Source organism: Homo sapiens, chromosome 16 (genome assembly GCF_000001405.40).
Source record: "Homo sapiens chromosome 16, GRCh38.p14 Primary Assembly".
Lineage (NCBI taxonomy): Eukaryota > Metazoa > Chordata > Mammalia > Primates > Hominidae > Homo > Homo sapiens.
The window spans coordinates 88730762-88758428 of NC_000016.10; the positions used below are offsets into that span (position 1 = coordinate 88730762).

The 27667-nt window shown below is 63.0% G+C and overlaps 1 protein-coding gene and 2 long non-coding RNA genes across 3 annotated transcripts in view, besides 3 other annotated features; 2 read left to right on the top strand and 1 right to left on the bottom strand.

Annotated features, from left to right (window-relative positions):
- The window catches only part of PIEZO1 (piezo type mechanosensitive ion channel component 1 (Er blood group)), a 69883-nt gene that overhangs the window by 15424 nt on the left and 26792 nt on the right, over positions 1-27667 (bottom strand). The window contains exons 2-22 of the mRNA NM_001142864.4: positions 18623-18718; positions 11539-11661; positions 11292-11334; positions 10717-10855; positions 7807-7975; positions 7466-7679; positions 7173-7344; positions 6967-7053; positions 6798-6885; positions 5878-5978; positions 5387-5647; positions 4374-4485; positions 4114-4292; positions 3889-4037; positions 3595-3777; positions 3145-3293; positions 2827-2984; positions 2517-2693; positions 1846-1971; positions 1574-1774; positions 945-1149 (exon numbers count right to left, since the gene is read on the bottom strand). Coding sequence (NP_001136336.2) covers positions 945-1149; positions 1574-1774; positions 1846-1971; positions 2517-2693; positions 2827-2984; positions 3145-3293; positions 3595-3777; positions 3889-4037; positions 4114-4292; positions 4374-4485; positions 5387-5647; positions 5878-5978; positions 6798-6885; positions 6967-7053; positions 7173-7344; positions 7466-7679; positions 7807-7975; positions 10717-10855; positions 11292-11334; positions 11539-11661; positions 18623-18718 — 3132 coding nt within the window. The remainder of the gene's footprint in view (positions 1-944; positions 1150-1573; positions 1775-1845; positions 1972-2516; positions 2694-2826; positions 2985-3144; positions 3294-3594; positions 3778-3888; positions 4038-4113; positions 4293-4373; positions 4486-5386; positions 5648-5877; positions 5979-6797; positions 6886-6966; positions 7054-7172; positions 7345-7465; positions 7680-7806; positions 7976-10716; positions 10856-11291; positions 11335-11538; positions 11662-18622; positions 18719-27667) is intronic.
- HSALR1 (HSP90AB1 associated lncRNA 1) lies at positions 419-10664 on the top strand. The gene is made up of 3 exons (NR_103774.1): positions 419-687; positions 7060-7644; positions 7743-10664. It is a non-coding gene; the product is annotated as an HSP90AB1 associated lncRNA 1 (long non-coding RNA).
- Positions 6595-6814: a silencer, noted in NCBI's record as "silent region_7872". NCBI's record gives its function as "represses an Ori minimal core promoter by ATAC-STARR-seq in GM12878 lymphoblastoid cells {active_cell/tissue: GM12878}" and the evidence as "EXISTENCE:reporter gene assay evidence [ECO:0000049][PMID:35858748]".
- Positions 12006-14987, top strand: PIEZO1-AS1 (PIEZO1 antisense RNA 1). Its single transcript, NR_120387.1, has 3 exons — positions 12006-12729; positions 12831-13583; positions 14328-14987. It is a non-coding gene; the product is annotated as a PIEZO1 antisense RNA 1 (long non-coding RNA).
- Positions 13103-13789: an enhancer, noted in NCBI's record as "H3K27ac-H3K4me1 hESC enhancer chr16:88810272-88810958 (GRCh37/hg19 assembly coordinates)". NCBI's record gives its function as "activates a minimal SCP1, AML or CMV promoter by ChIP-STARR-seq in primed H9 embryonic stem cells {active_cell/tissue: H9 hESC(primed)}" and the evidence as "EXISTENCE:reporter gene assay evidence [ECO:0000049][PMID:30033119]".
- Positions 14807-14866: a silencer, noted in NCBI's record as "silent region_7873". NCBI's record gives its function as "represses an Ori minimal core promoter by ATAC-STARR-seq in GM12878 lymphoblastoid cells {active_cell/tissue: GM12878}" and the evidence as "EXISTENCE:reporter gene assay evidence [ECO:0000049][PMID:35858748]".

Sequence of the window (27667 nt, forward strand, 5' to 3'; positions counted from 1 at the left end):
GCCGGAGGGGCCAGGACCCACTCAGCAGAGGGGAGGCCCAGGGTCTGCGGATGACAGAATTCTTGGAAAGCAGCCAGTAACAAATGGCAGCTGTCCTTGATGGGAATCCCAGCTGACAGACACACAGAGACAGCAGAGAGAAAGTCTGTTTCGTAAAACCACAAGGCTGACCCCACACAGCCCACCAGTGCCAACAGGCTGGGTGCCACTGTGGGGCAGGTGGGACGCCCCTGAGCCGGCCACGTGCACAAATGTGACTCCCCATCTCAGACCGCAGGGTGCTGTGTGCCTTGAGCAGACCTGCAGCACCAGGACAGCCACGCAAATCCAGTCTCACGGCGTCAGCAACGCTACCGGCCTCCCTCCGGAACTTCCCAAGAGACAGGAGAGGCGGGGGCGGCTTAGACCCAAGACAAGAGACTAGAGCAAACATCAGACCAGATCCCGTCTGAAAACCAAATGGCCACAAAGAAGGGTGCTGAGGCCGGGGCTGTTTGAATGCAGAGGACACGTTTGACGATGGCACTGCCAGGAGACGGGACCACGGGTGTGGGGCTGTGGGCTCAGACACCCTCACCCAGGAGACGCATGCTCGAGGCAGCACTTGGGTGTGAGGCATCACGGCCGACCCGCACGGGGCCCGGAGAGGACGCAGTGCTCCTTGTGTGACTCACAACTTTCCTGAAGGTTTGAAATATTTCAAGATAGAATACTGGGCAAAAAAGGAAAAGAGAACAGCAGAGCCTGGAGGGGGCCAGGCCGCCCCCGAGAGACAGGATGCAGGTGATGGCGCCTGGGTAGGATGTGGAGCAGAGAGGAGGGACTGGAGGAGGCCAAGGCTAAGTCTAGGAGGGTGGACAGGAGTCTGGGGCAGGCGGGAAACACCCCCACGGGCATCCACAAAGCCACAAAGCCCACTCCCACCCAAGCCACGTGCCCCTCACCAATGCACAGGGCCGGGGGCATCCCCAGGCACAGCAGGTACTGGTACAGCAGGAACAGCGCCAGGAAGAGGCAGTAGTTGGGCCAGAGGCGGGCAATGGCCTGGCGGTGCCTGCGGGTGAGGATGGCCACCAGCCAGCAACCGTGCAGGGTCACCAGAAAGTTCATGCGCTGCCCGATCACGTTCACGGCCATCAGGAAGCAGATCTGGGGAGGGGAGAGGGCGGGGTGTGGGGATGCACTGAGTCTGGGGGGAGGGACTTTCTTGTCCCACCCAGCAGGCCTCAGGCTTGCAGCAGCCCTGCCTGGAGGCTGCGGGCATCAAGCAAGGACAGGGCCAGCGGCGCTGTCAAGAGGGCAGGAGTGGCTGGCAGTTGCCATCGTGCAGGGGAAACTGAGGCTCCAGGAGGTGGGCTGTACAGTAGAGCAGATCTAACTTGGCCCCCTGCCTGTTGTCAGCACCGACACACCACAGGAGTCCAGGGAAGCCGTGCCTGGCCCTGAGTCCCCCACCCTCTGTGGCCCAGGCAAACCCAGGTGGGGCCAGGCTTGCGGTGCCTGCACGGTGCAGCCGTCCCTCCCTCCCGAAGGCCAAGCCCTGCCCCAGGGGGAGGCAATGTCCTTGCCTCACCTCCAGCCCGAATTTGTAGAAGAAGAAGTTGATGAAGTACTTGAGGCAGCCGAGCAGATCCTGGTCCAGCTGCTGGCGGGTGCCGCTGGCAAACACGGCCTGGGCAGGCAGCGGGGCCAGCTGGTGCTGCCGGCGGTAGTGCTCCTGGCGCCGGTACACGATGGCCTCGAATACCAGCAGCAGCAGCACTTGCAGGTGGTTCTGCGGAGGGCAAGGGTCAGGGGGCAGCCGGGTACTCGCCCGCCCAGCCGCCCACCAGCCCTTCAACTCACCTGGATGTAGCCCAGGTTGGGGAACCCTTTCCGCACCCCAAACCAGTTGGCAGGGTCCACGGGCCCCCGGTACAGCAGGGACTGGCTGATCTCCGTGGGCAGCAAGTTGGTGCTGTTGGGGAAGGGCTGGCAAGAGGCCAGGCATCAGTGCCCCCTCCCAGGCCACAGTGCCCCCTGGCCCTGCCCGGAGCCCACCACAGCCACAGCTCTGGGGCAGGTCCACTGCTCCCCAGCCAGGGACACGGGGGCTGCCAGCCTTGGAGCCACCTTCACGGGGAAGGGGACCAGGTGTTTGAGAAACAGGGAGACCACGGGCAGGGGCTGGGGGAGTGAAGAGAGGTCCAGGGAGAAGGAGGGATGTGCGAGAAGGTCCCAGGCAGAGATGCCTGACTGTCTCTCCCTGTCCAGGGGTGGGGCCCTCCCGTCCTCACTGCCGGAGACCCTGGGACTCCGCCCCTACTGGACACCCTTGTGTGCAGGGAGTGCGCCCCTGGTCCACAGTTGAGGTCGAAGGATGCTGCCTCCAGGAAGCCCCCTTGGCGCCCCCAGGGGAGAGTCCTCCATCTCCATTGCTGGCCCCACTGCACTGAGGCAGCTGCCCCAGGAGGGTCGGGCTGCGAATACAGAGTTGCCTGGAGCTTCCTCCCGTCCCAGCCCTCGGGGGCCGGTACCTCGGTGCAGTTGCTGGAATACTCCTGGGGGTTGACAACCTTGAGCTGGTACAGCATCTTACACACGATGATGACGCAGGTCCACACGGTGGACAGGCAGGAGGCCATGGGCCGGAAGCGTGGGTAGGGCAGGGCGAAGGCCCACAGCACCACCAGCAGCAGGTTCATCACCGACACCTGAGGGCAGTGGGCACGTGGGGCTGGGCTTGGGGAGGGCAGTGGGCACGTGGGGCTGGGCTTGGGGAGGCCAGCTGGGCAGGCCAGAGCGACCCCACCCCAGATGGGAAGCTGAGTTGCCTGCCACACTCACCTCCTTCAGGGCCACCCAGACGGTGTACAGGGCCACCAGCTTGAAAACGTGAAGCTCCAGCAGCCGCCGCAGGAACACCTGCACGCGTGAGAGGACGTCCGAGAAGCCGGCTGCCAGCTCCAGCAGCCGCTCAGCCACCAGGCCCCACTTGGCTGCCCCTGTGATGGTGTGAGGGTCAGTGCGGGGCACAAACGGGGATTCCCGGGTCCCCTGTGAGGAAGAGGCTCTGGAGCCCAGAGGGGACTCTGCCAACGCCCCCCGAGCTGGGACATGGCACAGCAGACTGGGTGGCAGCTGTGCTCTGCCCGCCCAACCCACCTTCAGGCACCTGCGTGGCCTGGTGGGGAGTGGCCACGCCCAGCCCCTCGTCCCTGGAGTCCTCCTCCTCCTCCTCCTCCTCCTGCTGCTGCTGCTGATGCTCCTGCTGCTCCTCCCGCAGCAGTGGGGTCCCACTCACTGCATCCTGCCTGGGAGAGGGTCCGAAAATGTCATCTCCCAACTGGGTTCCTGCCCCTCATTTCCTGGGGCTGGAAGAAGCCCTGTCGGCACCGCTTCTGCTGCAGCTGCCAGTTCAGGTGCACAGCTGTGTCGCAACTCATGCCCACTGTCCCTGTGACCTCCACGCTACTGCCATCCCCTTGGTATGAGCAAATGCCCCTTGGGATCTGAAGGTGGAAGATGTGGCTCCTGTCCAACTCCCACCTGGCTCCCTCCCTGGCCCAGGAGGCTACACCTCTCCAGGGCCGGACAGGGAGGGCGGGGCCGCACCTGTGAGCCCAGCGCGGGAGGCGCGTGCCAGGCAGGGACACGTGCTCCATGTCGGTGAGCTGCATGAAGGGCCTGTGGAAGTAGTGCAGCTGCAGGATGCAGGCCAGGAGGAAGAAGCCGGGCACCAGGATGCTGGAGAAGAGCTCGGACACGCTGAACTGCTCCAGGCCCAGGTCCCCCAGCCTGTGGAGGGGCAGCATCAGCACCGGCCCGGCCCCCGGCAGAGCCGCTGCAGCCCCGGGGAAGTGCACGGGGTTTCGGCGCCCCTGCCCCACCGCCCCAGCCTGGACTCACTGCTCGTCGGTGAAGCCAGTGAGGTTGCGCCAGTAGGCAGGGAAGTCCTGGAACTGGAAGGTGTAGACGGCGATGAGGACCAGCATGGTGTAGGCCACCACGAGCCACCAGAAGGCCTTGAGCAGCTTCCGCCACAGGCTGTAGTAGACCTGCCGGGTGAGGTGGGGGTGGTGAGGACCGCGGGGAGGGTCCGTGCCCCAGCCCCCATCCCGGCCCCCCAGCCACCTGGAAGAGGGTGAGGCAGAGCAGGAAGAGGAACATGTAGACAATCTTGTAGACCACGAGGCGGCCGGCGAAGCTGACCACGATGAACATGCCAGCACACACATAGATCCAGTACTTGGCGTACACGCCCTTCACCAGCTCCCCCAGGCTCTGCAACAGCGTCTGCGTCCGCGTGGGCTCTGTGGGCCAAGCCAGGGGCAGGCGATGGCATCAGGGCGGGCAGGCAGGAGGGCAACCCCCGCCTCTGGCCCACCACTCACCTGTGTCTGCCACGGTGACCTCCGTCAGCGCAGCTGGAGACTCTGCCCACTTCAGCAGCTTCTCTTTCACAAACTGGCGCAGCAGGAGCCAGAAGGTCAGGGTGTAGAGCAACTGTGACAAGCGCAGGGTGTCACAGTCAGCCGGGGGGCCCAGCACCCCTCCCACAGCCGGGGGACCCAGCACCCTCCTATAGCAGGGGGCAAGAGCTCTCAGGCGGCTGGCACCAGCCCATCCACCGCAGCCTCCCCACAGGCACCGAACACCCTCTCGCTCACACCCACTCAGAGGCACACGAGCACACACTCTCACATCCATGGATGAGTGCATGGGTTCACTTGCGCTCACACGCAGAGTCACACACGGGTTCACTAGTTCACGTGGGCACAGATCCATGCACGCACCTGCACACATGTCCACATGCTGGAGTGCATGTTTGCCCACATGCGTGCTCACATATGCACACAAGCTCACAGGTGCATATGTTGGCACACAGGCTCACAAGTTTCACAAGATGAGACCCACTGGCCTGCAAACAGGTGTCCAGACACGATGCTGGCACCCGTTTCACATGGACACGCAGGCACCCTGTGAACACATGGCCTGCACAGCTTGTCACTGAGACCCAGGGCTGTGCATGGTGCCAATGGGCAGAGCCCACGCTCACACACACTGTCAGGGGCGCAGGGGTGGTGCCTGTGCCAATGGGCATAGCCCATGCTCACACACAGTGTCGGGGCACAGGGGTGGTGCCCGTGCCAACAGAGCCCACGCTCACACAGTGTCAGGGCACAGGGGTGGTGCCCGTGCCAACACAAGGTTGTCTGTTTATTCAGTCAACAAACGCTCACTGAGAAGCTACTCTGGGCTGGCTCTGGGTGGGCAGAAGGGGACAGACAGACACATCTGCCTTCTTGGCGCTGCCACTCCCCCGGGCAAGTGGACATTGAACAGGACGACAACCCTGATGGGTCTGCGCACCCAGGCACCCCCGGATGTGGTGGTGCACACTCACCATGGCACCAAGGTCCAGACAGGGGTAGCGGGTGTGCTCCAGCCCCAGCTGGCGCAGGCTGACGGGGCCCAGGGTGGTGGGCAGCTCAGGGCGCAGGTCCATGGCCCACACGTAGCGTAGGCAGCACAGCGTCATCCCATACAGCAGGATGCAGGGCGAGCACAGCATGGCCAGTTGGTGGCGGCTGCGCACCGTCCAGATGAGGCAGGCCCAGAGCAGCAGTACGAAGGTCAGCCAGCTGTGGTAGGTGATGCTCCATACCTGCGCGGCAGAGAGGGCTGCACAGCTGCCCAGCGCACCCCACCCAGGCGATGCCCCACACCTGCGCGGCAGAGGGGGCTGCACAGCTGCCCAGCGCACCCCACCCAGGCGATGCCCCACACCTGCGCGGCAGAGGGGGCTGCACAGCTGCCCAGCGCACCCCACCCAGGCGATGCCCCACACCTGCGCGGCAGAGGGGGCCGCCCACCCCAACCCCCACAGCCGCCTACCATCATGGCAATGAGCGCGCACACATAGCTCTGGTCCATGATGAGGTGGCCCAGGCTGTGGAGCGGAGACGCCTCCCTGGGCTCAGCCCGCTTGGGCCGCACTGCAGGTGGGGACAGCGGTCAGCTTCGGCAGGTTGATCTGCAGGCCTCCCCACCCTGACTATGCCCTAAAATCTGGGCCCTGGGCAAGCACACAGCAGGAGAGACAGGCCCCCGGTGGGCTATGGGCAGAACACGAGGGCTCCGGCAATTGGGCTGACACCGTCCCTGAGCGTCAGGGATGGCCCTGCCAGCACCTGCCGTTCTCTGGGCCTCACTTTCCTTGAAAGGGTGGGAAAGGTGGCCCTGACCCCCTTTCCAGCTCTGCGCACCTGAAGACTCTCAGGACCCCCACCCCAGGGCCGTGGCTTCATTTGCTTCATTCAGAAACACATTGCAAAATGGAAAATCAAGGGTTAGGGTAAAGAAAGAAAGTAGCCAGAAAGAGCCCCCAGGCCCTCCCAAGGCGACGTGGCCAACACAGAGTTCCCAGGCCAGCCCCTGCCCTGGACGAGCGGCCTCCTGGGGCCACTGGGCCACCTGGAGCAGCTCCCAGAGCTAACAGCACAAGACAGCATAGCCACATTCTCTGGGGAGGGGTTGGGGGACCTGGAGGCCCCCCATGGGGTCTTGGGGATCAACGACGCGGCCACTCAGCTGCCCTGGGGGTCTTGGGGGTTGGTCAGTGACATGGCCACTCGGCTGCCCTGGGGGTCTCGGGGGTCACTGACACCGACCCGTGGATGTCCTGGGCCCCCGAGGGGGCGGCAGGCAGAGGTGCGGCGCGAGCATGCGAGAGCGCCAGGCGGCCACCAGGGGGCAGCACCGGCCTCCGCCCCGCCCCCCGCACCCAGCCATACCTTGCAGTGTGCGGTACTCACCAGGCCGCCGCAGGACGGAGCTCTGGCCGGTCAGCTCGTGCACGATGCAGTTATCAGCCTCGGTGTCGGGTGCTGTGGGCACCACGTGCTGTGGGCAAGCAGCGCTGAGCCATGCACGGGCTGGCCGGGCGCCCCCCACGCTGGCGTCTCCACCTGCCTGGCTGCTCACCTGGTCAGACTCCCGTTCCTGGGGCCACTGGTCCAGCTCTGCTAGCTCCAGCTCCCGAGCCTCATACCCCTTTGCCGCCTCCTTCCTCTGCAGAGACCAGCGTCTTGAGCCCAAACCAGCTCCACACCCCACCCAGAGGCAGGAGGTCCTGAGACCAGCCCCATGGCCTGGCCTCAGCCCACCCACCATGGGTGGCAGGTGCTCACCTGGCCGGAGGGGCGGTACGCGCGGAGCTTGCGCAGAGAGGCCGTGGCGTAGCACAGCAGCAGGAGGACGCCGGGGCTGGCATACACAGGCCAGTCCAGGCCGGTGTTGAGGACCAGCGCGTGGGGGCTGGAGCAGTTGGTGGGACCCACGAAGTCCTTGAGACCCAGCACCCTGTCCAGAGAAGACCCGTCACAGCCTACCACCCCAGAGGCAGTGGGGCCACAGGGGCTAGACGAGCCAGGTGGGCGGGACCAGGGTGGCAGGAAAAAGGGGCTGTGTGGCAAGCCGTTACCTAGCCCAGATGCCGGCAGGCGGGAGCAGAGCCTGTGCCAAGGGCATCTGGTAGCAGTAGAGGCAGATGAGATGGCCGGCGCCGAAGCACCCCACCGCGACGCAGAGTCTGCTGAAGCCCCGAGTGCTGATGGGAAAGTGGCAGGCCCACCAGGTGCAGAGGGCCAGGAAGAGCAGCAGGTAGACACTGGAGAGGGCCGAGGGGTGGGCGATGCCTGCGGGGCAGGGGCACACAGGGTGGTACCTGGCCAGTGCCATGTGTCCCGCTGTCTCCACAGTCATCAGGGAACTCCCAAGACCCCTCCCAGTGTGACTGCCAGTGCCCCCTGCCTCGGTGCGTACCTGCCAGTGCAAGCAGTGTTACGGCCAGGACCCGCCCAGCCGCCACCAGCAGCCAGTGGGCCGTGACTCGGAAACGAGCGGCCAGCCGTGACCTCCGTGTAGGGGCCAGCGTTGCTGCTTCCTGCAGCCCTGCCGTCGGGCTGGCATCCACATCCCTCTCATCATCATCCTGCCAAGGTCACGGACAGGGGCAAGGTCAGGTGTATCGCACTGACGCCACCTCTCCAGCCCACACCTGCCCAGCCAGGAGCGTGGGAGGCGGCCACATCCACAGCTGCTCCTCTGAGGGCCACAGGACAGCCTCCCCGGGCACAGGCCCCAGCCGTCCCTGAGGTCTGCCTGACACCTTCCTACTTCCTCACTCAAGCTCACAGTTCCTGCAGGCCTTCCTGGTAGCAGCTCCCACCCTGGCCGAAGACCCAGGGTCTGTCCTGCCAAGCCCAGGCACGTGATGACCTTGCCAGGTACAGACAGACCACAGACTGTCCTATACCACCTCATCTCCCCGAACCACGCACCCAGGGAGCAGCGGGGCCCTGTCTATACCCCGGGGGGTCTCTAGAGACCAAGGGGGCCTGAGGGACATGGCCAGGCTCCAGGGTCTCCTGTGTACCCCTGCCAGCCTTCTGGGTGGCTCTGCCTGGAAGATAGGGGTGGTACTCCTGCCCTCCCCAAGCCTCTGGGGGGACAGAGGTGGCCAGCTGCCTAGAAGAAGTGACAGGCCGGCCTGGGGCTGGGGAGAGAGACCTGCCGGGCCTGTTTTCCCTGGACCTGACTAAAGATTTCCCAGAACACAGCCATTTCCCAAACACCAGGGAAAGCCAGGTGTGGTGGAAAGAACACGGCTGTCGTCAGATGCCCTGGCTCTGGCCTGGCTGCCACCGGCCCAGTGTCCCCATCTGTGACTCGGGGGCTCTCCTGGTGGCTGAGGCGCCAGGTGCCCGGGCTGAGACCGCAGGCTGTGGGGCTGGACGATAGGCCCCACCCCAGCTCTGACAGTCTCCGTGCTCTGCAGGCCGAGGCAAGTCACAGCCTCTCGGAGCCTATTCCCCTTCTGTCAAATGGGATGGGGGCTTGACGGGACAGATGAACCAGACCAGTCCTGTCCTCACAGGCCTCCAGGGCTGCAGGGGCTGCTGGGAGGCTCCGAGGCCAGGGTAACAGGGAGATCAGGGCAGGAGAGGCCCAGGCCCTGAGCCCACCCCTCTCAGAGACCACACAGCAGCTGGGGGCGAGGCTGGATCAGAACGCAGGGCGCCATCGCTCACCCCACCCACAGCCTGGCCCTGGCCCTGGCCCTGGGAAATCTTCTGAGCAGAGCCGTGAAAAATGAGCATTTCTGGGAGTGGAAAGAACAGAGGCAGCTGCTGTGAGAGAACAGGTGTGAGGCCACCGAGGGGCAGGCCCGGCCCTGACTTGGGGTATGAGGCCACCGAGGGGCAGGCCCGGCCCTGACTTGGGGTGTGAGGCCACCGAGGGGCAGGCCCGGCCCTGACTTGGGCCCCACGTGCCGCAGCCATGCTGCAGACGCCCCTCACCCTCCTCTAGCGGCCAGCACCCCTCGGGCTGGCTGGCACACTCCGTCGCATGCCTGCAAACACGTGTGTGTGTTGCCCATATGTGGGAGTGAGGGTCGCCCGGGGGCCCTGCCAGGCCGGGTCATGGGGCTTCTAGATCTTTCGGAACGGTATCCTGCAGGTGCCTGGTGCCCCCAGCTCACTCTGAAGTCTGTCCACGCTGGCCGCCCAGGGCGCAGCTGCACACTCAGGCTCCCATCACACCAAGATGAAGATGACCAGAGTCCAGCCACCCAGCCCCTTCCCAGCAGCCAAACTCTAGGAAGCTCATGCCCCATGCCCCCATCAGCATGGAGGGGCTGACGAGGGAGGGGCGGGTCTCTTGGAGGACAGGCAGCAGCACAGTCCTCATGAGCGCTGGACCCCCTCAAATGCCCGGAAAAGCCACTTGACCTCCAGGTCCCCGTTCCCACTTCTGAAATGCGGGCACCAGCCTTGCCCCATGGGGTGGCGACAGGACAGGCAGGAGGGCAGGCCGCCTCTGCAGGCTGAGCAGGTGTACTCGACCTACCGTGTGGCTTGGGGAACCCCTTTCCCTCTCGGGACTCCTCTAGAAGTTGAGGCCCATGTGCGTGGCGAGCATCAGCTATCTGACGAGTGGGCACTGGGAGGGTGAGGTGGGAGGAGGCTGGGTGCCCGGGGCAGGGAGTTCGTGGGCCAGGACACCCAGGTGGCCATAAATCCTGGCTGAGCCTGGGGATGGCAAGTGTGGGCCCAGGCAGGGACGAGAGGGTCTGAGCAGTCAACGTTGGGTGTCGCAGGCCCCAGCTCATGCCCTGTCCGTGTGAGGGGGCCATAGCTCAGAGATTCCCGGGGCCGGACCTCCAAGTCTTGTAGCAGCTAAAGTTCACTCTGCCTCCCACTCCGAGGACAGAGGCCCTGCTTCAGGCCCGTCGCTCCTGGGGTCCAGGCCCCTGCTGGGGCTCTGGGCCGACAGCCTGTTTGCCTGTAAGTGCATGGGGCCTGCTGGGGCCGCCCCTTCTCAGCCCTTCTGCAGTGGCTCTCCAGCCAGACCCACTGCCCAGCACTGCAGGTTTCCACCACCGCGTGGCCCCAAATAATTCCCCTGTGAAGAGTTCCTAAGGGCACAGATGCCATGTCGGGGCGTGGAGGTTTCTGACTAGAGGCAGAGCCCGAGTAGAAACAGGTCTGAACGGATGGAACTGCAGGCTGGGCCCCGGGGTGGGATTTGGAACTTCCTCCTCTCTTTAACACCAACTTACAACCAAAACGTCTACATCTGTTTTAAAAAGATTAAAATAACCCTCAAAATGGCTGAGACCACAGCTCTCGAATGACCTCCCTGACACACGGGTGACGCAGCTGCCCTCACCAGCTCCCGTGGATGTGGGCTCTGCCGGGTGTTCCTTGCAAGGCGCCCGCAGATGCCGAGGCAGACAGAGGAGACCACCAAGATGCCCAGGTCAGGGGCCACCAGCCGGATGGCGTTGGGGATGTCCTTCAGGTCCAGCCTGCGGAGAGCAGGGAGCAGCCGCGGTCAGACCAAGAGGACAGGTGTGGGTGTGAGTGTGGATGGGTCTCCAGGTGCGGGTGGGAGTGTGGATGGGTCTCCAGGTGCGGGTGGGAGTGTGGATGGGTCTCCAGGTGCGGGTGGGAGTGTGGATGGGTCTCCAGGTGCGGGTGAGAGTGTGGATGGGTCTGCAGGTGCGGGTGGGAGTGTGGATGGGTCTCCAGGTGCGGGTGGGAGTGTGGATGGGTCTCCAGGTGCGGGTGAGAGTGTGGATGGGTCTCCAGGTGTGGGTGGGAGCGTGGATGGGTCTCCAGGTGTGGGTGGGAGTGTGGATGAGTCTCCAGGTCCCCCTCTGTCCCTCCTGGGTCCCCCCACTTCCTGGGGCCTGAAATCCCCAAGGGAGGCTTGCTGGTTGGGGGTGGGAGGAATGGTCTTACCTTGTGACCCCTATGTGTCGCGAGAGGGTCTCCCAGCGGCTGCCTGCAGAGAAAGACGGGGGAACCCAGGTCAGGCTCTGCCCAGCCAGCACCGTGGCCTGGTCATCCCTGGAGCGTTTCACCTGGACCATCCAGGCCAGACATAAATCAGGCTGAGTCAACCCCCCCAGGAGACTCGGGGTCACTGCAGGGCCCTCTCCCTGACCCCCAGGATGGCTATCCCTACCCCGCCCCCTCAGCGACTCACAGCTGGGTCCCAGGAGCTGGTCCAGGCGGGGCACAATATGCAGGCAGATCTGGAGGGCGAGATGGGCCACCAGGAAGAGCAGGCTGAGGCCCAGCAATGCCCGCAGGAGGCGGCCTGTGTGACCTGCGGCAGAGCGAGTGGGTGAGGCTGGTCCCGGGGACGGGGAGGGGCCGCAGCCCAGGCCGCTCAGCCGGACAATAGCCCCCAGCCCGGCCAGAGCCCAGAGGCCTGAGATGCAAACCCGCCATGGACTCAGGACCCCATCAGGCAGGCCGGCCAGCCCCACTCCCCACGCCTCCCGAGGGTCACTCTTGTCACAAGGAGCCGGGCATCCTCCTGGGGGTGGCAGCAGGATGGGCCTGGGGCCCACAGGCAGGAAAAGGCCTCCCAGGCTCAGAGGAAACCACCTGGGGTGTGCTCCCTCATCCAGCAAATACCTGTCACCGTTCAGTTGTGGAAGCAGAGGAAATAGACACAAGGAGAGGCAAGAAGCTCCACCTCACCCCAGTGGGGGCTGCAGGTGGATGGAGACCAGAGCATGCGGAGCGCCCCTGAGCAGCCGTGGCTGGGGTGGGAGCAGGGCCATGATGGCTCTGGAGAAAAGTGGGGCAGGCAGCTGCCTCCCTGGGGCTGAGGGGCTGCAAGGAGAAGTTGCATCCCGATGCATGGCCTATGCATGGTACCCAGTCCCCATGGCCACCCTGGCATTTCAGGCACCTGCTGTGCACCAGGTCAGGCCCCAGACCGGCATCCTCTCTCTCTCTGTGCACCCACACCTGGCAGGAAGCGGCAGCACCATCTGGTTGCCTGGCAGCCTTGTCCTGCTCCCAGCTGCCTGTGGCCCCACTGGACTCAGCCCCCCAGCAGGGAGGCCTTCGGCTGCAGGGCAGGGGCTGGGCGGGCGCACCCTGTGGCTGGGGGCACTCAGGAGCCCTGGCTTCACCTCTGCTCTCGGCGCACATGTGGACAGCTCACCCTTCAGCAGGGGTCCGGACCAAAGTCCTTGACCCACCGGGTTCTGAGTCCTGACAGGGCTGTGGACAGCTTCCCTTTCCACCCCGGCACGTGCTGGCAGGAGCTTCCGGGCCCTCACCCTGGGGCAGCAACTCCTGCACCACCAGCCACGCCCGGCCACGAGAAAGTGCAGAACAGCTCAGGCCCTTCTCACAACTTCCTGGAGCTCAGGGACAGGTAGCATCTGGGTCTGGGTCCAAGGTGGTGAATGTCACCACCACATCTGCCCTCTCTCGGCCTCGGGGCGCAAACTCAGGGCCTGTGTCCACTCTGTTCAGTTTTTTGAGCACAAATGGTGTTAGGTGACAGACTCGGGATTGGCCTTGGACACTCAGCCCCCTCTTTCTGGAGCAAAGACTCATGACCCACGTCCAAGTCACCCTGCACATCCCTAAGCCTGACCGTGAAGCAGCCCTCACGGATGCCCAGGACTCCCTGTCCGCACCACCAGGCAGCCGAGGCAGGTTTGGACCAGCTTCTCACACTCACACCTTCCTAGGGTTGCCCCAGGCCCTGACCTGCTGACCCTGCAGCTATGACCTCTGACCTGTGGAGGATGGGAGGGGTGAGCAGCAGGGAGAGTGGGAAGGAGGAATGGAAAACCGTCCAGGAAGGGAGGCTGCAGCCCCGACACGAACAGGAGCCACCACCAGGGGGTGCTGTGCAGGGCTCCCGGAGGACAGGACCTTCCAGGGCCTCCCTGCCCCGAACCCATAGGTGCCAGGCTTCTCACTGCTCACGACCTCCGTGCCGGGCTCATACCTGCCGCGCCAGCCCCTCTTCAGCAGAGCACAAGTCTGGCAGCAGGAGGGCACCAGCCAGGGGCCCCGCGCCCCCGCCTCTGTACAGCAGGGTCACCGTGGGGTGACATGAGAACACCGACCCAGGGAATGGGCTCCTGCCACACCTGCCTGGGAACCTGGGCTGTGAGTCCTGCTCGCTGCACCCTCTAGCCTGACGTTGAAGTAACCTCGCCAGCGGGGCCCTCTGTGGCACTGGGCACTCAGGGAGAGCACGTGGCATTGGAGAAGGTATTCTGAGTCCTACAGAGAGGGACCTGCGGGGCCTGCCCCACAGGCACGTGGGGCTCCTGCTGGGGCTGTCAAGGACCCCCGGGCACTGAGAGGACATCTGGGCCCTTGGGCAGCCAGGCTGACGGGTTCCCTGCACACACGATCCAGCAGCCCGGGAAGGAACTGCCTGACCAGAGACCCCTGGGCAGGGAGGGGCTCTCAGGCCACCTGGCTCCCGCCCACCCGCCTTGCCCTGCACGACAGTCCAGGATGTCCGTCTCTGGCTACATCTCGGATGTCACTGCTTCCCCATTGTCTTCCTCCCTCCCCTTTCCCTGCCTCCTTCCCGGTTCAGTTCTCGGGCCGGCCAGAGTGTCCTGGTCTGGCCATGTTAGAACAGCTGGGCCATGATCCCTCCGCAGGGTCGAAGGGGCCGCAGCTGGGCCTGGAGGCCACTCCTGGCCACGTGGCACGCCCGCTCCCTGCCTGGGCTGGATCAGACTAGGGAGCTGAGAGTCCGAGGGGCACCCCGGGAAGAGACGCTGCTGGAGATGGGAGGGGGCCGGAACGTGCAGAGGGATCGAGGCTCTGCTGACCTGCACGGGGCGGGGAGCGGGGAGGTGCACACAGAGGCCGAGGGGGCACCCTGACACCGGCCCTCTTCTCCGACGCAAACAGCATGACCTCAAGGGGTCGGGTGGCTTTCTCGTGCCTCCACCTGCAGCCCCTGTCCCCGCCCACCCCGTCACTCTCCCCCTGCAGGTCCCACCCCCAAATGCAAAGCTGGGAAAACCAGGCTGAGCCGGGGATCAGGCCACCTCCGCAGGGACCCACTGCTGCCTCTTCCAGGAGCCCAGGAGACCCAGTGGGTCTCCTGCCCCCGACTCCAACTCCCTCCTGGCAGGACACACCCAGCTCACAGTGGCCTTTCCATCCTGGGAAAGGGAGTGAGAGGAGGCTCAGGCCAGGGACCCGCCCAGCTCTGGCCGGCAACCGCCCTTCAGCCTTTCCTGAACCACTGTGTGGGCCCCAACCCATCCGCTGCCTGCCGGAGGGAGCCCATGGGGAATGGACTATTCTTGCCACCCCTATCCATGGCAGGGGAGGGGCTCAGCATGGCTCTTGCCCACCCAGAAGAAGGTGCAGGGGGCCTGGCGTGGTGGTTCACACCTTTGGGAGGCCGAGGTGGGTGGATCACCTCAGGTCAGGAGTTTGAGACCAGCCTGGCCAACATGGTGAAACCCTGTTTCTACTGAAAATACAAAAATTAGCCAGGCGTGGTGATGGGCACCTGTAATCTCAGCTACTCAGGAGGCTGAGGCAGGAGAATCACTTTCACTTAAACCCAGGAGGCGGAGGTTGCAGTGAGTTGAGATCGCGCCACTGCACTCCAGCCTGGGCAACAGAACAAGACTCCGTCTCAAAAAAAAAAAAAAAAAAAGGGGCCGGGGCTCCCCCTCCAGCTTGCAGGGCTCTCAGGAGGAAACAGGAAGGGGCGGGGAGGCCCCAGGGTATTGCAGACCGGATGGTTGACAGAGCATGGACCTCCCCCAGAGCCGGAGCCCTTGGACCCCGGCACGGCCTGCAAAGGCTGAGGGGCCCCACCACGGCAGCATCCTGATGCGTGGTCCATAGCCACCATCCCCACACCTGCCGGACAAGGGCTGGGCCTGATTGTTCTGTGGGGAGTGTGGAGTTGCCCTGAGTCTGATCCGTGGGGTGTGCATGGGAGCCCCCTGGAACCTGATCCATGGGGTGTGCATGGGACCAGCCAAGGGACCCAGGGTGCCTTGAGGCTGAGCCATGAGGCCCACCCAGCGACAGCTAGGGCTGAGCTGCGGGGTAGGGCCACGAGAGGGGCCTTTTGAGACAGAGGATGGAGACTACACAAGGCTGGCAGAGCCGGGGGACCAGTGAAGCTGGAGAGGGTGGCAGGGCCTCCCTGCACGGGGCATGGTAAGAGGTGGGGGGTGATCTCTCTCCAGACAGCAGGGTCAGTCTTGGAGGTGGGTTTTATCCTAAGGCAGGATGGGGCTTCTGAGTCCCTAAATGACAAGCAGGTCTCTGGGAGCCACCCCCTGTGGCTCTGCCTGCAGCCCTGCCTGGAGCACCAGGGTCTGTTCCCTCTGCCCCAGCCCCAGCCCCTACCCCTCTCCTCCCTGTTCAGTCTGAGCTCAACCTCCAGCCCCCCAAGGATCAGGCTGACGCCTACAAGGGGACCAAGGCTCAGATGGCGTCAGAGCTTCCACCAGGGCCACGCCAAGCCCAGCAGCTGCACAAATCATAAAGCCCCGGGCACTCGGCTCGGGCAAGCCTCACACTTTCCTCTCTCCCTCCCGGAAAACTGGGCAGCATCTCCGTCTCTGAAGGGCCTCTGACGAGGCTCAGGCAGGGAAGTCCTCCCGGGTCCTCTCCAAATCTTCCCACCCCAGCTCCTCCCCTGGCCTGGCTGGGCGCCTGCCTTCCCCCACTGCTGATTAAAGGAAAGTGTTTCCAATTGCGCCCTGGGCATGAAATATTTACGGAACAAACGGCGAAACGCCAGGGGCCTGGGAACAGACAGAACCGGCTCCACAGAGCAAAGGGGAGGCCCAGGATAGGGACCGGGAGTGGGGGTGCCCACCCACCCCAGCCATGCATCCTGGAGGGGTTTGGGCCTCGGGCCCCAGCGACTCCCAGCACTCGGCCGCACTGGGCCCCTCCCAAAATGCCTCTCTGCACCCCTGAATTCTACCCATGATCCAAGATCAGTGCCTGCGCTGGGCACAGTGACTCACACCTGTAATCTCAGCACTTTGGTAGGCTAAGGCAGGAGGATCGCTTGAGCCCAGGAGGTGGAGGCTGCAGTGAGCCATGATCATGCCACTGCTCTCCAGCCTGGGCAACCAAGCAAGACCCCCACTCGAAAAAAAAAAAAAAAGCCAAGCACGGTAGCTCATGCCTGTAGTCTCGGCCGAGGTGGGCAGATCACCTGAGGTCAGGAGTTCAAGACCAGCCTGGCCAACATGGTAAAACCCCTGTCTCTACAAAAACACAAAAATTAGCCAGGCATGATGGTGGGCGCCTGTAATCCCAGCTACTCGGGAGGCCGAGGCGGGAGAATCGCTTGAACCCGCGAGGCGGAGGTTGCAGTGAGCCCAGATCGTGCCATTGCACTCCAGCCTGGGTGACAGAGTGAGACTCCATCTCAAAAAAAATAAATAAAAAAGACCATTGCCCACCCCACAGCACCACGAGCTAGGAGGAGCCTCTGGGATGCTTCCAGCCAGATGTCGCGAGGCCGGAGAGCGACCTTCCACCTGCAGCTGGCAGAACGATGGACCCCAATGATGCCTGCACCCCAGTCCCCAGAATCTGTGAACGCAGAAGCTCACATGCAGAGGCGAGTCCAGGCAGCAGAGGAAATGGGGGCTGCCCAACAGCTGACCTTAAACCAGGGAAGTCGGCCTGGATTAGCCGGGGAGGCAGATGGGACGAAGCCACAGGGTTACCGCAGGGGAGAGGGAGCAGGAGAGACAGGGTGTGATCCTGACCCCACCCCACCGGCTCTGGAGATGGAGGGAGGGGCCCCAAGCCCAGGAAGGTAGGCACCTGGAGCAGCTGGAAGAGGAAGCAGATCCTCCCCAGAGTCCCCTGGAAAAACGCAGCCCGGTGGACACCTCGTAGCCATGGACAGGCCCCGACGCTGCCAGCCTGATGCGTCCAGCACCTCCCAGAAGGGCGGCACCCAAGAGCCTGTCTCCACAGTCACGCCCCCTGGTCCTGCTTGGCCTCCTCTCTGCCCTCTGCTGGGGAAGGTCTCTTGCTGCCTACACTTGCCCTCCCTGGGGACCTTCCTTCCTTTCAGTGGCTCTTCACCCTCCAAACCCAAAGACCAGCGGAGGGCCCGGCCCCACCCACGTTTGGCCCATGGCCTTTGGGGACAGGTCTCTGAGTGTTTGCTCCAAAACGCGCTCTCCTAAAACGTGGGCACAAAATGGACATGGCCCCCACAGGGCAGGTAGGTGACATGTCACAGGATGGAGGGTTTGCTGCTACCCTCGTCACCCAGGCTGCAGGCTTGGCACGTGGCCTCACCGCCCTCTGTTTGGAGGATACGGGAGAGCAACACAGTCCTGGCCCAGCTCAGACCCCAAGGTGGTTCCCAAGGGGGGTCTCAGCTCCCCCCCCCCCCCGCACAAGTGGATCAAAGTCAACTGAGGTCCAACCCCACAGCGGGCAGCGGGAGGGCGGTCCAGGCGGCTGGAACTCCCAGGCTGCCAGAGCCTCAGCAGGCAGGAAACGTGCCTGGAGCCTGCAGAGAGTGGGCAGTTGGGGCCCATCCACTCCCTGTGGCCTCCCAAGGGACACAGAGACTCCACCCCCATGACCCTCCTCGCCCCTCACAGCCCCTGCAACACGGATCAGAAAAGATTCTGAGCTTAGCTTGGGGTCTACAATGAAAATAAGAAACTTTGATGGCTGGGCGTGGTGGCTCACACCTGTAATTGCAGCTACTTGGGAGGCTGGGATGCGAGGATTACTTGAACCTGGGATGCGGAGGTTGCAGTGAGCCAAGATTGTGCCACTGCACTCCAGCCTGGGAGATAGAGCGAGACTCGGTCTCAAAAAAAAAAAAAAAAAAAAAAAAGCCGGGCGCGGTGGCTCACGTCTGTAATCCCAGCACTTTGGGAGGCCGAGGCGGGCGGATCACAAGGTCAGGAGATCGAGACCATCCTGGCTATCACGGTGAAACCCCGTCTCTACTAAAAATACAAAAAAAAATAAGCCAGGCGTGGTGGCGGGCGCCTGTAGTCCCAGCTACCCGGGAGGCTGAGGCAGGAGAATGGCGTGAACCTGGGAGGCGAAGCCTGCAGTGAGCAGAGATCGCGCCACTGCACTCCAGCCTGGGCGACTGAGCGAGACTCCGTCTCAAAAAAAAAAAAAAATTTTATTTCGGGACCCCTCATCTTCCACCCCGGGCTGTTAAAGGTGAGGAAAGCTGTACGAATTTTGGCCCCAAACGAATGCCCACCCCCTCCCACCCTGAGAGCGTGGGCAGGGTCCCCTGGCCTTACCTTGGAGGCCGCATCGGGTGGGGCCGGGGAACCAGGGCAGCAGCAGCAGGAAGAGCAGGTAGACCAGCGAGAGTCCGCTGAAGCGGAGCAGGCAGGCTGCGGGGAGATGGGCGTTAACTAGGTCGCCAACAGAGGATGGCCAGCCCCACCCCAGAGGACAGCGCACCCACGGCCCAGCTCGTCACACCGCCGAGGCCGTGTGCCCTGTGAGTGCTGCCCTGAGCCAGAGCCGTGGAAGCCGCCTCGCGCTTCCGTACATATCTCACACACGCCACGACACGGGCACCAGCCTCCCAGCGGGGCGCTGGGGTTTTGACCCATCTTTCTACCTTGCTTTTTTTCCTTTAAAAATGCTATTCTTGGGCTGGGTGCAGTGGTTCACACCTGTCATCCCAGCACTTTGGGAGGCCAAGGCGGGCGGATCACTTGAGGTCAGGAGTTCAAGACCAGCCTGGCCAACGTGGTGAAACCCTGTCTCCACCGAAAATACAAAAATTAGCCGGGCATGGTGGCGGGCACCTGTAATCCCAGCTACTCGGGAGGCTGAGGCAGAAGAATTGCTTGAAACCGGGAGGCGGAGGTTACACTGAGATGGCACCACTGCACTCCAGCCTGGGCAACAGAGCAAGACTCCGCCTCAAAAAGAGAAAGAAAGAAAATGCTATTCTTGGCTGGGTGTGGTGGCTCACGCCTGTAATCCCAGCAGTTTGGGAGGCTGCAGCAGGAGGATCACCTGAGGTCAGGAGTTCAAGACCAGCCTGGCCAATATGGTGAATCCCTGTCTTGACAAAAAAATACAAAAATTAGCTGGGTGTGGTGGCGGGCACCTGTAATTCCAGCTACTCAGGAGGCTGAGGCAGGAGAATCGCTTGAACCCGGGAGGTGGAGGTTGCAGTGAGCCGAGATTGAGCCACTGCACTCCAGCCTGGGCGACAGAGCGAGACTCCATCTCAAAAAACAATCAAACAAAAAAATGCTATGATTCCTGCCCCCAGCACGTGTCTGGGAGCCCCCGCACACGTATGGGGCAGTGGGACACAGCGCGCCTTCAGCCCAAATGCTCTGCGTGGCCGCACTCGCCACAGCCCCCACACCATGTCCCGTGTCTGCCCTCCTGCCTGTCCCAGAAGGTCCCGGGGCCTGGCCTCCCACCCTCATCCTGAGAGTCCGGCCAGTGCCTGCATCAGTCCCAACCACACAGCTCCCACCCGGGGTCTCCCTGGCACTTGCACTGATCTGATAAGGTCTGGAGTCAGGGAGGCTGTGCCTGCCACGTGCTAGCCAGGCCTGCTTCCTCCTAGGAATGTGAGGTTTGTCAGGAGATGAGGGGTGGGGCCTGATGTCGTCTCCTCGCAGGGGACCTGAGGGACCACTCAGCCTTTCCGGGGCTACCAGGGAGGACACTGGGACTGGAAAGGCGCCTCATGCTGCCTAAGGGGCGCCAGCAGCCCATCCTCCAGCCCACTATCCACCCACCCTCCACCCTCCACCCACCCTCCAGCCTCAGGACCCCGGTCAGGAGGCTGAGGAAGGAGGCCACAGTGAGCTCAGACCCGTGTCCAAGCGAGACCCCTGGCTGCTGCTCCCACCATGACCCCAAAGCCCCAGCCAGGATGTAGCCAACGAGATCCCTCCATAGTCTGGCTCTGTGCCCAGGGGAGGCCATGCGTGCCACCATCTGCCCCATCCTTGGTGCCAAAGGAGCCCCGGGAAGTCTTCTGGAGGGAGGCCCAGCCCAGCCCAGCTCTCACCTTGACACCCACCTGCCCCTCAGTCCCCAAGACCCGAGCCTCACCCTAGACCAGGGGCACGGAAAACGCAGGGCAAGTTAGAGGAGGCGCAGGGCAGAGGGAGACCCCGACCTCCACGGACAGCACAGGAGGCCGGGCCTTTCACAGCCTGGTGGGGCCTCCAGACCCATCTCCCCATTGGCACCGTGGAGCTGACGCTTGCACCTGAAAGGGTCAGGGGCACACGGCAAACTCAAGAAGCACAGCCCCTCCCTTCCCACTCTCAACAGCTTCACCCTTCCACCCTCCCGGAAGCAGACACGAAAGAATCGCGCTCGGCGCTGCTACGGGCTCAAGGCGGCCTCGGCTTAGCGCACACATCGCGGAGTGCCGGGCTCCGGGGGGCACCGCCCGCCCTGCTGGACACAGCAGCCTCCCCCAGCTCCCCCAGGAGCCCTCCCTGAAGTTAAGATCCCCTCTTCCTCCCATTAACGCACCAAGCATAGCCATCGGCTCCATGCTTTTAAATCTAAAGTTTTTTGACGATTATACATTTTCATTAAAAAAAAAAAAAATCCCTAAGATCTGGCCCAAGAGGCAGGAGGAAAATGCATTCACAGCAAAGGCTTCTGAAGTTCTGAAGTTCTCCACAGCTGCACTTTTCAGCCGGGTGAGTTCTGCCCCAGTCCTGTCCCCAGAGAAGGTGGCACCTCCCCTCTGCACCTGTCCAGCCAGGTGGCAGCCGTCCATGCATCCGTCAGAGCAGAGGAGCTCACGGTCTGACCTGCCAGGAACGTCCAATGCTCAACAAGTGCACCAGGGTTGGGTTCGAAGCCCGTGGCAGGGCACCTTAGTGTGGTGTGGACACCAGGCAGGGCTCCTGGAGTCAGAAGCGTAGGTCCTGGGGATGAAGGTCACCAGACCCTGAGGCTGTGGGGAGGCCAGGGAGGTGGTGCCGTGCGTGCAGTTTCCTTTGGGAAAACGAAGAAGTTCTAGAGATGGGTGTCAGTGATGGCTGCACAACAATGCGAACATGCTTACCGCTGCTGACCTGTGCCCTTCAATGCGGCTAACGTGACAAACTTTAGGCCGGGTGTGGTGGCTGAGGCCTGTAATCCCAGCACTTTGGGAGGCCAAGGCAGGCGGATCACTTGAGCCCAGGAGTTCGAGACCAGACCAGGCAACACAGAGACCCCATCTCTACAAAAAAATTCAAAAATTAGCCGGGGATGATGGTGCATGCCTGTGGTCCCAGCTACTCAGGAGGCTGGAGCAGGAGGATCACTTGAGCCCAGGAGGCTGAGGCCGCAGTGAGCCATGATCACGCTGCCGCACTCCAGCCTGGGCGACAGGGTGAGATCATCTCAGGAAACAAAGCTTTATGGATGTATATTTTGCCAGAATAAAAAAATAACCAGCCCTGAAATCTGCAAAGGATTCTCAGAAGCCCGAGCCTGAGGCTGCAAGGGGCTGGGGCTGGAGATGAGGCGGGTGCAGGGGCTGAGGATGGAGATGAGGGAGGGGCTGGAGCTGGAGGCCTCCCTGACCGCCCTGCCCCTGGCCGAGCCAGAGGGGAACCTTGAGGGGCAGAGTGGACTCAAAGGCAGAGGACGATGGGGGCATGGGAGGCACCTTGGCAGGGGTTCCCCGGCAGGCCAACGTCACCCGGCAGGGCAAGTCCCCTGCCTGAGACCATGACCCACCACGGGCCTGCCCTGGGGTGATCAGCAACACGCCCCCCAGAGTTTGTTCACTCATTCATTCATCCATTCATCCATTCATCCATTCATTCATTCATTCAATACCAAGCAGGCCCCACCAGGCAGCGGGCTTGGTCTAGGGTCCGGGGACATGGTGGACAGTTGGACAGACAGCTAAGGCTTGTCCCAGGTGGCGGCCACTCACCAACAACACAGACAAGGAAAAGGCTCAGAGAGGAAGAGGGCTACTTAGCCCAAAGCCCACCCACCGCCCCCAGAGCACACCCACCGCCCCCCAGAGCACACTCACCCCCGGAGCACCCCTGCCCCCCCAGAGCACAACCGCCCCCCCAGAGCACACCTATCCATCCCCAGAGCACACCCCGCCCCCCAGAGCACACCTGTCCATCCCCAGAGCACACCAGCCCCCCCAGAGCGCACCCAGCCCCCCAGAGCTCACCCGCCCCCCCAGAGCGTACCCGGCCCCCCGCAGCACACCTCCCGCCCCCGGAGCACACCTGCCACCCCCAGAGCACACCCACTCACCCAAGGACGGGCTGAGACAGGAGGGCCCTGGCTGGTCCCTGGCGCCATCTTCTGTCAGCCTTGCCACAGACACCAAGCAGGGGCAGCCTCACGGGTGGGATGAGAAGGGGGCTCAGGGTCACAGCCCAGCCCACCACTTCTCCCATCATCTGGTCTTGGGGTCCTCGGAGTAGCCGGCTAGCAGGGCAGGAGTGAGGAGCACTCCTCCAATGCTCCAATGCCCCCATTTTCAGATGGGATGGGCTCTGAGAGGGGAGGAGCTCCCAAGAGTGGTCAGGACCCAGGTCCGGGCATCCCGGCCGCAGGGCCACGGCTTTTCGAAACACTCCTTGGATCTACCTGTGCTGTCTATGCAGCCGGCAGTGCTCTTGGTCTAAGTGTGTTGATGTGGCCTCAGCTGTGACTTTGTGGGCTAAAGCCAGAGGGGGAGACTTCAGAGCAGGCTGCCTGGAGGAGACGGCATTGCTTTTGGCCCTGAAGACTGGCTCCAACTCAGGGCAGGTCGGAAGCTTCGCAGATCAGGCTCAGGCAGAGAAGGAAGAAATTCAGCCAAAGGGGAGGCGGGGCCTGAGACAATCCAAGGAGCGGGGACAGGAGCCTGCCCTGCCCTGTGGCTCCCATGTTCCCATCAGGAGCTGCCCAGGCTGGGCCTGTGACCCCGTGGGGGTAATGCCTTTTCCTGAGTCAGCTGCAATGGGATGGGGTCAGAGAGAGCTGTGGTTCCCAACCCCCAACCCCCTCGCCTCACCAGCACACGCCTGACTATGGCCCACATCCAGCTCCTTGGGAAGCAGAGAGCCCAGCCATCACCCATCCACAGACCTTCATCCTACAGCTGAGAGGAGCACAGTCAGGAGGGGAGAGGCTGCCCCCACGGTAGCTGCTGGGCCCCTGGGTGTCCAAGGGCTGGGCTGGCCTCTGCTTTCAGTGGGTGCTGGCCAGGAAAGCCACAAATGCCACATGGTGGTAACCAGGACCACACACCACTCAACCGGAACATTCCACAAAGAGGGCTGGACACCACCCACTCCCACTGGCACATAGGAAGACCTGCCAGGGGATGTCAGATGCCTGAGCCCCCCTGCCAGGATCCAGTTCCTGGGATGAGACCCTTGCAGCTGACCCACGCCCGGGTGGGAGAGGAGAAACTGCCCAACCCTCGTTCCCTGTGGTGATCGAGGAGGAGCTGTCTGGCCTCCTCTAACACGGGCTGAACCAAGCCTGACGAGGCCTGAAGGACTGTCACAGGGAGGGCTGCCGGATGGGGCTTTCACAACCTGGACACCTCATACATGCTCCCTCCAGGAGCCACACAGAGACCCAAGGCCAGGATTTTGAGCAGGGGGGCTCCGTGAAACAGCCGGTGCGGCCTGTGTGTGACCCCACACTGCCGGGGCCCGCAGGCCAGCGCTGGCCGAGAGCAGGACGTGGTGCAGAAAGACTGCGGCCCACACGGGTGGGTGACCCGGGACCCACAGGAGCTGAGGCTGCATCACAGAGCAGGCAGAGACGAGCTGGGGGCATCGTGTGAACGAACGCCCCGGCGTGCCGTCCCGCTCCACGCCTGCACAGGAGCTGAAAGCTGGGGCCCCAGGCCCAGCAGCTGAACCTCCCACCCGAGGACACCTGTTGCGCCCCAGGGAGAGGAGAGGCCTAACCAGAGGGTGGACACACCTGCGGCCATCAGGTCACCGCCGCGGCCATCACGTCACCGCCGCCCCCAGTGCAGGCACGGGGCTGGGTGATCTGTCCCGTACAGTCCTGTGGCACTAGCCGAGGACCACGACTGTCACCTCCACATTGCAGACGAGGAGATGGAGCAAGCCTGGGATGCGGCGAACAGCCGCCCCCGCCGCCCCCGCCATGTGGCTCGGGCCTAGCTGGCTGTGGGGACAGAGTAACTTTATTTAAATGCTAATCTGCTGATTAACCCCGGGTCTCGGAATGCCTCCAGACTGGCTGGTTGATGCATCATCTTCCTGCAGGAGCACCTACTCCCTGGCATTCACGTGCAGGAAAGAAAAAAAAGAGTGTCTAGTCCTCGTACGTTTCTTCCTAAACAAACCCGGTGCTGCAGCAGGAATCTGGCCACCCCACCCGCCACGTTCCCAGCCACCTGCACATTCCTCCCAGGGCACGATACGAGCCCCAGATCGGGCGTTTGGGTTCAGAGCTCTACCTGCCTGGAGGCTGCCTGAGGCCATGTTTCCGTCTGTAAGTTCCTGCCAGTAAATAGGCGGGTACCAACACACTTGCTCTGTCTGCCTCCTTTTATTTCCCGGCTCCTTCAGTATCTGGGGGTTGCTTTGCTTATACCGCCTTTTCACCGAACGGTGGCGCCTACCCTCAAAGCTCCCATCTCCAAAGGGGACAGTGCAGAAGGCACCATGAGAGGCCGGGGGCCCCCAGGCCAAGAGCTGCAGAGCGGCCTCACAGGAGAGCCTCGGGCGGTGGACAGGTGGGGACCGGGTGGGACCAGCAAGTCTGAGGAGACAGTGGCGCTCAGGAGTCAACCTGGCCAGCAGATCCTGACATGAGAAACCGGGGCCAGGGGGTGGCAATTCCTGGGTTCCCAGCACAGGGCAGAGCCTCGGAGCGGGGAGGGCGGGGGCCACCCAGGAGCCAGGACAGCAGAAGAAGGAAGGACTGGGGCCTGGAGTCCAGGTGTGGCCCAGCACTTGGGTCCAGGGTCACAGGAGTGAGCAGTCAGAGGTGTCCTCAGCCATGGAAGGTATCACACACCAGGCAGGGAAGTGGGGCTCTGCGGCCGCCATCTGGGAGCCTCGAGGGTGGTCTATGCTCTCGGGGTGACTGTCCACTCCTCACGGGCACCAGGCCACAGGGAGGGTGTGCAGGACGCCCACACCCAGCCCGATGTCCACCAGGAGCTCAGTCTTAGGCATGGAGGCACCTGCCCAACCTGGGTGCCTAGAAGGATCCTAAGAGGCCCCTCCACAACCTGGAGTCAGTCGTTCTGCCTCGGGACTCTGGACCCCACAATGGCCGCACTGGCCACTGATGGGGCGGGGTGGGCTAATGGACCGGAAGGATCTCGTGTGACATGTCCTCAGGAACCACACCCACCTGAGTGCTGTACAAAACTGGTGGCTGGGGCCGGGCACCGTGGCTCACGCCTGTAATCCCAGCACTTTGGGAGGCCGAGGCGGGAAGATGGCTCAAGCCCGCCATCTCATGGTCAGGAGTTCGAAACCAGCCTGGCCAACATGGTGAAACCCCATCTCTACTAAAAATACAAAATGTATCTGGGTGTGGTGGTGGGTGCCTGTAGTCCCAGCTACTTGGGAGGCTGAGGCAAGAGAATCGCTTGAACCTGGGAGGTGGAGGTTGCAGTGAGCTGAGATTATGTCACTGCACTCCAGCCTGGGCAATAGAGCAAGATTCCGTCTCAAAAAACAATAAAAATAAAAACAAACAAGCCAGGTGCAGTGGCTCATGCCTGTAATCCCAGCACTTTGGGAGGCCGAGGCGGGCAGATCAGAAGGTCAGGAGATCGAGACCATCCTGGCCAACATGGTGAAACCCTGTCTCTACTAAAAATACAAAAAAGTAGCCGGGTGTGGTGGCGGGCACCTGTAGTCCCAGCTACTTGGGGGGCTGAGGCAGGAGAATGGCGTGAACCCAGGAGATGGAGCTTGCAGTGAGCCGAGATCAGGACACTGCACTCCAGCCTGGGCGACAGAGCGAGACTCCGTCTCAAAACAAACAAAAAATGGGTGGCTGGGGAGCCGCACTGGCCCTCGGTCCCTGGGGAAGGGAAGGGCTGAGGCAGGCAGATGGCAATCCAGGTTTAGACTCCAGGTTAGACCACCTGGAGGCTGAGCCCTCGGAGCCGGGGGCTGGAAGACGCGATGCATTGAGGTTAGGAGGAGGGACCTCGAGAGAGCTGGCAGCGCAGCAGCACCTGGTGCAGGCCCTGGGTATGCAGGGGGCGTTGCTGGCGGGGGGGTGGGGGGTAGTTACCTAACCTGCCTGCTTTCCCGTGTGGTTAAAAGGCTCCAATGACAGTGCCTGAGAGTGTGTGGACACTGGCAGCCTGTGAGAGCAGGGGCGGGTGGGAACAGGTCTCCAAAAGGACTGACGGGGCCTAGGAGACAGGAGAGGGACAGGTGCTTGAACAAGGGCTGGGGGCCAAGACGGGGGAAAGAGCTTCTCAAAGGAAGTGGAGCCAATGGGCTGGACTGAGATCCCATCTCCACCTTCTCCAGGGCTTCCACACCCAGGAAGGAGAGCCCATGGGTTGAAGCTTCGTCACCTGGGAAGCAGGAGAGCCCGAGGGTTGGAGTCCATGACCTGGGGGTTCCTGGCCCTGAAGGAGCCAGGCTGCGGGCCGGAGCTGGGCCAGCTGCCATGGCTGGAGGCATCACTCTCCTTGGGTCCTCCCAACAACCTAAGGGTGGCACCATCCCACCCCACAGACAGGCGAACTGAGCCCAGCATGGCCCAGCAAGAGACTCAAGTCACAGGCAGACTCCCCCAGCAGCCTCAGCTCCAGCAGATGCCCCAGGAGGCAGGAAGGGTCTGGGCCAGTTATCACAGATTTCACAGACTCCAGCCAGCCTCAGAAGGTGCCACAGAAAGGCCTGGCTGGACACCCCTCCGCCACCCTCTGTGCCTCTACTTCTCTGCCCTGACCTAACTGGCAGAGAGGATATAGGGCTAGACGAATAGGCCCTCCGGGGTTGGGGACAGAGCAGCTGAATCCTGGGAGGAATCCCCAGGAGCCTCCTCAGCCCTGTGGTCCCACTATTTCAAGCATGGGTGGGTTCCTGGAAGCGGCTGCCCGGACTCTCCTCCCACAAGGAGATGGCCATTGAGGAGCAACAGCCCTCTCAGCCCAAGTCCTTGTGCACCGAGACCAACTGTGTGGCCCTCAGTCTGGCATTCAAGGCTCCCACCACTCTGGGTTAAGTGTCAGCTGACCCTGTGGGCTTCCTGCCACTCCCTGACAGACCAACATCGTGCTGCATCCCAGCCTTGGCCCCAGCAGTGGCCTGGCCTGGGGGCAACCCTGGCTTCTGTGAGCTCTGTCCCCACCCATCGTCACTCAG